This window comes from Homo sapiens, chromosome 2 (genome assembly GCF_000001405.40).
Source record: "Homo sapiens chromosome 2, GRCh38.p14 Primary Assembly".
Taxonomy (NCBI): Eukaryota; Metazoa; Chordata; class Mammalia; order Primates; family Hominidae; genus Homo; species Homo sapiens.
In genome coordinates, this window is record NC_000002.12 from 121,881,584 (window position 1) to 121,892,626 (window position 11,043).

Below are 11,043 nucleotides of genomic sequence, written 5' to 3' on the forward strand. Positions count from 1 at the left end.
AGAAACTCTGTGGGTGGCACTCAGAGATCTGTGTTTCGATCAGCTTTCCAGAGGATTCTGGTGCTGTCTCACATTTGAGAACCATTGGTGAAGATGATGGCCATGGGGAAGAACTGCCTGCAGTCATCTTCAGGCTCAGCAAGAGACTCAGGAGGAGGAAAGTCTAGAGGCTGTTCTTGGTAGAAGAGATGAGTGTCAGTTCAGTGGGTGTCGAGGAAAGTCTTTTGTCTTTGGCCTTTTCTCCAGATCAACTTCTCCTTTCTTTAGCTTTGGAAGGATAGGAATTATTTATGATACATCATAAACATCTATATAATAAAGTAGATTTTATATAATATATATTATATTGCATATAATATATAATGTATATTATACATGCTATAGTTATATATACACATACGTTCATACACACGTATGTGTGTGTGTAGGTTGAGGGGTATGCAAAGACTCTCCTTAACCAAACTTGTGTCAGGCTCCTCCGAGCCCCTTCTCAGCTAGGCCCAGGCTTGGGTTCTATCCTTGGCCTGCTTAGTCTAGTGGTAGCAAAAATCCTGCTGGGCCAGTTGAGTGAGAATCCGCCACCCTTGATAGCTCATTAAATTCCTCACCAAATTCCCACCCTCAGTATCTGATTGCCCTGGCCTGTCTTCAGCAATGCTTAGAAACTACCATCAGAGTGAACAGGCAACCTACAGAATGGGAGAAAATTTTTGCAATCTACTCATCTGACAAAGGGCTAATATTCAGAATCTACAATGAACTCAAACAAATTTACAAGAAAAAAACAAACAACCCCATCAACAAGTGGGCAAAGGATATGAAAAGATACGTCTCAAAAGAAGACATCTATGCAACCAAAAGACACATGAAAAAATGCTCATCATCACTGGCCATCAGAGAAATGCAAATCAAAACCACAATGAGATACCATCTCACACCAGTTAGAATGGCAATCATTAAAAAGTCAGGAAACAACAGGTGCTGGAGAGGATGTGGAGAAACAGGAAAAATTTTACACTGTTGGTGGGACTGTAAACTAGTTCAACCATTGTGGAAGTCAGTGTGGCGATTCCTTAAGGATCTAGAACTAGAAATACCATTTGACCCAGCCATCCCATTACTGGGTATATACCCAAAGGATTATAAATCATGCTGCTATAAAGACACATGCACACGTATGTTTATTGCGGCACTATTCACAATAGCAAAGACTTGGAACCAACCCAAATGTCCAACAATGATAGACTGGATTAAGAAAATATGGCACATAAACACCATGGAATGCTATACAGCCATAAAAAATGATGAGTTCACGTCCTTTGTAGGGACATAGATGAAGCTGGAAACCATCATTCTCAGCAAACTATTGCAAAGACAAAAAACCAAACACCGTGTGTTCTCACTCATAGGTGGGGAGTGAACAATGAGAACACATGCACACAGGAAAGGGAACATCACACACCAGGGCCTGTAGTGGGGTAGGGGGAGTGGGGAGGGATAGCATTAGGAGATATACCTAATGTTAAATGACGAGTTAATGGGTGCAGCACACCAGCATGGCACATGTATACATATGTAACAAACCTGCATGTTGTGCACATGTACCCTAAAACTTAAAGTATAATAATAATAAAAAAAGAAGTGGTTTAGCCAGTGTCCTGGCTACCCCTGAAGTTTCCTCTTAGTAGTTTTTCATCCCGAACCCCGTCCCTGCTTCTTGGCTGTAAGTCCCCACTTGTTCTTGTTCTATTTGGAGTTGAGCCCAATTTCTCTCCCCCACTGACAAGCCCTACTGCAGTAGTTCTTTCTTGAATAAAGTCTTCCTCATCATCTTTAAAAAGTGTCATGAATAAGTTTGCTTTGACTACATGTAATCATAAAAGTTTCAACACCTTCCAAAGCTAAAGCTGTGTGTGTGTGTGTGTATGTGTGTGTGTGTGTGTGTGTAAAACTCCAATTGGTTCCTGGGACAGTTGGATCAGTTTATTCTTCTGCCAAGAATGTATTATATTGCCCATCTCATTACATCTTCATTGAAAATGAGCATTTCATGCTAAATTTTTATACCAAAACATTTTCTTCTATTGTCTTAATTTATATTTATTTGATTCCCTGTGGAGGTACTTTCCCTTATGCTTATTTATTAATTACTGTTCTCTTTCTAAACTGTTCACATTCTTTGTGCTTTTTTCAATTTGTATCAGTTTTAAATATTATGGATTAAGCATACATACTTCATTTTCACTACATATATTTTCAGTAGGATATCCTCATTTTTTTCACTTCTGAGTTCTATTCCTCTAAACTTAGAAATTTCTTCCTTTTTGTATGTTTAACACGTGTTTAGTTCTGTTTTCTTGTAGTTTATCACTGTTTTGCTTTTAAAATATTTACTGTTTTAATCTGTTAATTCAGTTTTCAGTTTCTCTACCTTCGTGGCTTTTATTTTGACAAGTAAGTAATATCTTGGAAACATGCGTCTCAAAAGCATAAGAAGCATTTTTTATTTGAGGAAGTCCTTCAGAAAATAAATATTTTATAATGCAAACACGATCTCTTCTAACTTGTGTGATTTCCACATTTGGATATTTTCTGCTGCATTTTCACACTTAGAAGAGGCACAGAGCGGGAGGCAAACCTGGTATGAGAGTGGGCCCTGCTGCAGCCTCCTGGCTGAAATGGGGATCCTGGCACCTCTCCCTTTGGCATCAGGGTATTGAGACAGTGATTATGACAGCACCTTGGCAGTGATAAATGTGCCATAAAAATTGCAGGGGGTTGTGTTGCTGGCCCAACAGGTGCTGGCTACTGCAGGGGTGAACAAAGCAACCCTAACCTAGGAAGGCCCCCTCCCCCCGCCATGAGGATGCTGCAGTCATTCTCCCTCTCATCCCCATCCCCAACCCACACACCAGCTAAGAAGCAGTAAACATTTGGGGGAAATCTGGCTCATGATTATGGTACACTGAACGTAACAGGATGCAGAGAGCAAGTGGCGTGGGGGATGGGGGAGATGTCAGCAGCTAAAGTCTTCACCCACACATGACAGGAAAAAGCTTCCAGAAAACTCCCCTTTCCTATCCTCACCTCCCCTAACACACTCACAAAGCCAGCTTCCGCCTGCAGGCAGAGGTCATGGTTTTTCCCATGTGAATCAGCTGTTCTAATGGGGCATATGAAAGAGAATTTCATTCCATGGGCACATCCTCAGATGCTCAGGGACAACAAAGCACCCTCTTAACCACTGATTGGAGGCAGGAATCTCAGCTGACATTTCCTGCTCTGCAGAGGCGGAGGCCCTGGGCCCTCTGTGGGAGGCAAGAGAAAGGTCTACATTATTAAGTGGTGGCTGTGCCCTGCAGCCCCTTTCCCAGCTGCAGACTACAAAGAAAGGCTCAGATGTTCACATGCCTTTTGAACCTATCAGCGGGGCCATGGCAGAGAAGTTCAATGGAGACAGTGAGCCCTTAAGATGGAGGTGGCTGTGACTGAGTTGAACCAATGGAGGAGGATGAGAAGTCAGGTGGGGCCGGGGTGCAGGGACAGCATCAGAATGATGGGGCACAGCTCCTCTCCACAGAGGCTTAGAGTGTAACTGGGAGGACCCAAATTACATAGCGGAGATGGTACAAATGTGCCGAGGTACCATGTGGAGGCATGGACTCTAAGGGGCTGACAATTTAGACAAGCATGAGAAAAGAATGAGGAGGTTTTCGTGTTTGTGATTCACAGTTTATTCCTCTTTAAAAAAATTTATTGCTTTTTGGTAGTTCTAGTTTTTCTTCTTTCTATGTGTCTTCTTGACACCAGGTGTGACTGGTAATAAAATTCAAGGTGTAGAGGGAGAGATGCAGAGCATTTTAGCAAAACGATGCTAAAATGTATGCTAAGAGGAGGCAGAAGCAGTCGGAAGGGTGTGACTGTGATGGAGAGATGCCCCTCAGGGTTAGGCTCAGGGGTCTTCCTTTCTCTTTCCTCCTCTCCAACTACAGAATCTGCTCACTTCTCTCTCCAACTGACCCATCTTGAGTGGAACTCGATGAGACCAAAGAACTCATACCTGAAAAGAGCTGGGAAAAAGGCTGGGAACCAAAAGGATTCCAGAAAACCTCAGGGCCATGGGGAGAGGGAAGAGTGAGAGGTTCCACAAGGAGTAGCTTTTCCTGCACAGCTGTGGGGGAGAAGACCCTGGGCTTCTGAGAGCCACGAGGAAGGCTTGGATGGAGGCTGCAGGAGCAGGTGGCCAGAGGAGACTGGACGCCATCCCCACTTCCCACCCCCGTGGACCCTCAGTTAGAGAACACCACTAGAATGTGAAGCGAAGAACTGCACCGTCCCTCTCACTGTACCTGTGGTTGTGCCAGGCCAGTGACCTGCAGGATTGCTTCGCAGAAGACCGAGAAAGGGAACAGCAGCCCCGGCAAGAGGAGAGCAGATCTTGGTGTTCTCCCATTGACCATAAACCATGTCGCAGAATGCCAGCTTTAGACAAGGCCACTCTATGACTGTGATGAATCAGGGCAAAAACAAGACCCCTCCTGCATGAGATAGGAAAAACAAAACCCTAAACTGACAGTTTTCTTCTACTATCCTCTCAAGACAGCACACCACACCGCTGATTCCTGCTGTGTGGGAGTTTCCCCATACACCAAGCAATTCTCCATCAGACACCTACAGAGCGTTCTGCAACTGAGCTCCATTCTGACATCATCTACTGGGAGATAGCATCAGACTGTACAAGTGAAGGGCTCAGTCCCACAAGACTGCCCCTGCTTCAGATACCAATTGCAAAAAGTAGGTTACCCCAACTTCTGTCTGACTTGACTCATTGGAGGTTCCCACGATACCTCCTCAGTTTCGATTAATTTGTTACAGCAGCTCACAGAATTCAGGAACACTTACATTTACCAAGGAAATCAATGATATGATAAAGGATAAAGGTGAACAGCCAGGTGAAGGCGTACACAGGGTGAGGTCTGGAAGGCTCCTGAGCATGGGCTTCCATCCCTGGGGAGCTGAGACATGTTGCCCTCCCAGCAAATAGATGTTTTCTGCCAGCCTGGAAGCTCTCCAAACCCTGTCTTTTAGGGATATCTATGGAGGCTTCATCACATAGGCATGATGGATCATTAACTCAATCTCTAGCCCCTCTCCCTTCCCCAGAAGATCAGGGGTGGGGCTGAAAGTGCTAGGCTTCTAATCATGACTTGGTCTTTCTGGGGACAGACCTTATACAGGGCCCCATGGAGAGCTGCTGCATTGGAACGAAAGATGTTCCTAGGACCCAGGAAATTCTAAGGTATTAGGAGCTCTGTGTCAGGAACTGGAATAAAGACAGAATATTAGAACAAAAGATGCTCCTAGCACCCCATTGCTTAGGAAACTCCAACGGTTTTAGGAGCTCTGTGTCAGGAACTGGGGCCAGGGACCAATATATACATATATCTTATTTCACACTCTGTAATCATGTCTGAACTCAAAAACAAGAGCATTGTCCAAGTCACAAAAATATCAAACATCCCTATATCCTGGCTAACATGAGTGACAGCTGCTTCTTTACCGATTGGACATTTAGCCTCACTTCCTTCCACCTTTCAGCGAAAAGTCAGTTAAATCCCGGATTATAGAATTACCCCCGCTTCCCAACAGCTTCCAATCCCACTCAAAGCCCAAATCACCCAGCCTTTCAAACATCCTCTCACTGAGGTGCCCCGTGGTTCCCCATGCTGTGCGTTCTCCCTTGTCGCACCCACTCAGTAAATCCAACTTTGTTTGTCAGGCTGGAGGGCACCCACAGGACATCCCAGACCTCACTTCCACCATGAAGGGTGCAGCACTGGGGACACCCATCATTCATTTGTTCATTCAGCCCATTGAGCCCGAAACCTGCAGGTACTGGGACGGGGCTGGGATGCAACAGTCAATGAGACATGGCCCCTGCCCTCAACCACCTGGGTCTTTTCAGCAGACAGACAAGCAAAGGAGCAATTACTGTGCAGCGAGCATGCGAAGTGCTCAGACAGGCAAGCGGGGCAGATATGGGGGCTCAGGAAGGCCGTAACTGAGTCTGGGTGAATCAGACAAGGCCTGAACAGCTGTTCACTCAGCACAGGGAGGGGATCGGCATGCGCAGGAGCTGGAGGCCCAGGAAGGCAGAATGATTTCAGGGAGGCCAGGGTGAGAGCCGAGGCTGAAGGGGCCACCGCCAGAAGGCGCAGGGCCTGGGAAGCCTGGGGTTCTAAGGACTACCCTGGGAGCCATGAGAAGCCACTCAAGCTGTGAGAGGGAAGCAGCAGCACCAGTTTTGTTTTTTGGGAGGTTCACTCCGGCCGAGGGGTGGGGAAGTTATTGGTGGGGGGGGTCGCTTGCAGCCATCCAGGTGCCGGGGATTGTGGCCTGCGCCCTGGCTATGGGGATGCTGAGAAGTGGGTGGATTTGAGCTGATGGGACTTGGTGGTGGGCAGCATGCAGCCAGTGAGCGGGGCCCAGGGCGACACCCAGCCTCTGGCTGCTGTGACTGGTGAGTGGGGGCCACTTTTGAGGAGGGAGTTGTTCCAAGACTATGCTGATGCCTGAACAACTTGGAGGGAGGAAGGGCAGGCATTGGGACTGATTGTCATGAGAGGGGTTGCTCTGGGCCGGCAGCCAACCAGAACATGAGGCCACTGACCTCAAGAACAAGGAGACTGTGCTGGAAGGAGCAAAGGTGCCCAGAGAGAAGCCACACCAGCAGCAGCCAGCATGCTCCAGCATGCAGTCCTGAGCAGTCTTCTCACCTGCGAAGTAGGAGTGGTAACTTCTACCCTGCAGGGCGCTGGTGGTATTACACAAGACCGTGTGGAGAGATCATCTAGCCCAAAGCCTGGCACACAGGAGGTGTTGAGAAATGTCATTGGTATTTTCTCCTTAATTCTTAGCTCTAGCTTGGCCTATTGTTATGATTATTATTTGCTTTCGGTTTACTATTTTTTGAGCATACTGTGGCTTCCTTCTATATTCCCAAATTCTCTCCTGCTCTGTTTCTGATAGGAGGACAGAACCTCGCACATGCTCCACTCCTGAGATATCCCCTTTCTCCCTCCCTGTTCAGCCTCCCTAGAACTATTTGGGGATGAGCAGACCCCAACAACTCTGTAGTTTCAGGCTGGCAGCTACTCCCAAGCTTCCCAGCTCCTCAGGGCACAGGTTCATGAGAGGCCTGAGCCTCCATTATTTGGAATAGACAATCTCTTTTGCTTTGCTTCAGTTGATTTCAACATTTCTATATAGAAGCTCTCCCAGAATAGGCTGGGTGCTGTGGCTCATGCCTGTAATCCCAGCACTTTGGGAGGCCGAGGTGGGTGGATCACCTGAGGTCAGGAGTTCGAGACCAGCCTGGCCAACATGGTGAAACATTGTCTTTACTAAAAATACAAAAAATTAGCCAGGCGTGGTGGTGGGCACCTGTAATCCCAGCTACTGGGTAGGCTCAGGCAGGAGAATCGCTTGAACCTGAGAGGCGGAGGTTTCAGTGAGCTGAGATGGCGCCATTGCACTCCAGCCTGGATAACAGGAGCGAAACTCTGTCTCAAAAAAAAAAAAAAAAAAAAAAAAGGAAACCCTTCCAGAATAAAAAATGGGCCATGCCAGAGCTGAAGCAGTGCATGGCCTGGGCCATCCCAGTGACCCCAACCTGGCTGAGTCGTGAGCCTGCTCCTGAGTCACCCTTTGGGAGGCTGAGACCCGGGGACTCTTTTCTCCAGGAGAAGCTCTGCAGACTCTGTATTTGTCATCCTTGCTTTTCCCCCAAGACCCCAGGCCCTGTCTGTTCAGGCTCCTGGGCCCATGTTCTTTCAGATGGGTGTCCCGGCCGGTGGAGTAGTGATGGCTGCAGGCAGACAGGTCAGGGAGCAATGGAAACATAGGTTATTAGGGGGACCCTGTTGGGTGGTGCTGATGATGTTGACAAGAGACTGGAGATAGTCTATGCCTCCACCTTGGGATTCAGTCTTTTCCCGCTCACCCATCCTTCTCTGTCCCTGCTTCTCTTCTCCCTGGTTTTTGGTAAGTGTCACTGTCAGAGGCCAGGCTCTGGGAAAGGAGCACTCACTTCCTTGTTCCTCTCTAATCTCCTTTCTGGCCATTATGGTGCTGGGCTTTATAAACATACAAAGTTTCCTACTAATCCTCAAGTTCTTCTTCACATTTAGACATGAGTGACCCATTATTACTTCAGTGTCAACTCATTCATAGGAAGCTGCGTTGCTACCAATATTTAATTCTAAGTAGGTAAAACGTGCTTACTAGGGAATGACTTCTGCGGGATGTCTGCATATCAGTGGGACTCCGAATTGGGAAACTGGGAAAGCTAGAGCTAGAAAGCAAGCAAGAGACCGCTAGGAAAGCATAGAGTTCTGGGACCCACGAGGAGGTGGGGGAAGCATCAGAGGTGAAGGAGACAGTCTCTGTCCTTACAGAACAATCTCCAGAGGTAGAGGAGAAGCCGTTAGCCTGACTCGGTGGCTTGACAGACAGGGGTGTGGTGGATGGGTGCCTGGGTTTGGTGGCAGCAAAAGGAAATTGCTGTGGGCCTGAGCCGGACACGGAAGTGATGGAACCTCCTAGGGTTGCGGGGGAGGGCGAGGACCAGGGAGAGCTGCAGGAAGGAGTAGAAGAGAGCACAGTGAGAAGCTGAGCGAGGCCCATCTGGCTTCTGCCAGGCACTGCCTTCAGGAAAGGAAACCCCCCCACCACCGAGCTCCAGCTGGCTATGATGTGAAGCGGGGTAAGAGGAGTTATTCACAGGCTGTTTTGAAGAGCTGCTGGGGTAATGTAAGTGAAAGCATCTAGCAACCAACCAGTAAACCAGTGGTCCCCAAACCTCATTGTGCATCCGAGTCACCCAGAGGGCTCTCAGAGCACACCTGGCTGGGCCCCACCCTGAGTTTCTGAGTCTGCAGGTCTAGGGTGGAATTCACAGCTCTAGAAAGTTCTCAGGTGACACTGATGCTGCTGCCCCACCCTCTCCCCACCCCCAGGACCACACCTTGAGAAGCACAGTTGTAAAGGTTAGAGGCTGGAGAAAGGGAAAGTGGTACGGCCCTCCCTATCCACGGGGTTCACATCTACAGATTCAACTAACCACAGATTGAAAATATTTAAGAAGAAAACAATAAAAAATAACAATACAGGCCGGGCGCAGTGGCTCATGCCTGTAATCCCAGTGCTTTGGGAGGCCGAGGTGGGCACACCATGAGGTCAGGAGATTGAGACCATCCTGGTCAACATGGTGAAACCCCATCTGTACTAAAATACAAAAAATTAGCCAGGTGCTGTGGCACGTGCCTGTAGTCCCAACTACTTGAGAGGCTGAGGAAGGGGAAGCACTTGAACCCAGGAGGCAGAGGTTGCAGTGAGCCAAGATCACACCACTGCACTCCAGCCTGGCGACAGAGCAAGATGCCATCAAAAAAAAAAAAAAAAAAAAAGATAAAAAGTAATGTAAATATAAAACAATACAGTATAACAACTATTTCTATAGGATTTACATTGTATATGTTATAAGTAATCTAGAGATGTTTTAAAGTATATGGGAGGATGTGTGTAGGTTGTAAGCAACTACTATATCATTTTATTTCTGAGACTCAAGCATCTTTGGATTTTGGTATCTGAAGGGAAGAGGGTGTCCTGGAACTAATCCCCCACAGATACCAAGGGATGACTGCATCTATTTAATGTTTTTGTGCCATTAACCAAATTCAGTTTAAAAGACACACACTGTCTTTTCTTCTGTCTAGTTATTGTACCTGATAATTACACCCGTAGGAATAAACAAATATGGACTTTTGGGATCAATTTATCCTAAAGTTTTTGCATCATCAAGTAGAGACTAAGCTCCATTTTGGTGGCTAGTAACTGAAATCCACTTGAGCTGGCTTAAGCATCGAAGGAGAATTTATTCTAAAGACTGTTCATCTGCCCTCTGTCTGCTCTGTAGACCAACTTTCTCTGCTTCCCAAGCCATACAATGGCAGGAGAAGGATTCTCATTGGCTTAGCTTTAGTCAGTTTTCCAACCACTGCCCCATCAATCACCTGTGACTAGCAAGGGTGAGGTCTCATAGAATCTATAAGTAAGCTTTCATTGTAACCAGGGGGATAGAAGGTGGGGCTAGGGGCAGATGAAACAAGAGGAAGACTGCAGATACGAATAAAGTGGGCTGTTCTGGTTGAAGGAGCTGGCTTCCTATGTAGCCCAGCACTGGGTACGTGGGCTTTGCTAAATGTTACATAAATTAAATGCAGTTATTCTTAGAAAACTCCTGGGACTATGTGTTAGGCATGTTTTTGTGCAAAGAACAATGATTTAATAACTGTACTGAACAAATGCATAGATGGAAAATTCAAGAGGCAGGTTTTCGACTTTGTGTCCGTCACTATGATTTACTTAAGCGTATCCTTAAGAATCCTTTTCCCTCTCCCTCTCCCTCTCCTTCTCCCTCTCCCCCTCCCTCTCCCTCTCCCCACGGTCTCCCTCTCTTTCCACGGTCTCCCTCTCATGCGGAGCCAAAGCTGGACTGTACTGCTGCCATCTCGGCTCACTGCAACCTCCCTGCCTGATTCTCCTGCCTCAGCCTGCCGAGTGCCTGCGATTGCAGGCACGCGCCGCCACGCCTGACTGGTTTTGGTGGAGACGGGGTTTCGCTGTGTTGGCCGGCCGGTCTCCAGCCCCTAACCGCGAGTGATCCGCCAGCCTCGGCCTCCCGAGGTGCCGGGATTGCAGATGGAGTCTCGTTCACTCAGTGCTCAATGGTGCCCAGGCTGGAGTGCAGTGGCGTGATCTCGGCTCGCTACAACCTACACCTCCCAGCCACCTGCCTTGGCCTCCCAAAGTGCCGAGATTGCAGCCTCTGCCCGGCCGCCACCCCGTCTGGGAAGTGAGGAGTGTCTCTGCCTGGCCGTCCATCGTCTGGGATGTGAGGAGCCCCTCTGTCTGGCTGCCCAGTCTGGAAAGTGAGGAGCGTCTCCGCCCGGCCGCCATCCCATCTAGGAAGTGAGGAGCGCC

General features: G+C 47.8%; 1 annotated feature.

Annotated features, from left to right (window-relative positions):
- Window positions 6,755-6,864: a silencer, noted in NCBI's record as "silent region_11924". NCBI's record gives its function as "represses an Ori minimal core promoter by ATAC-STARR-seq in GM12878 lymphoblastoid cells {active_cell/tissue: GM12878}" and the evidence as "EXISTENCE:reporter gene assay evidence [ECO:0000049][PMID:35858748]".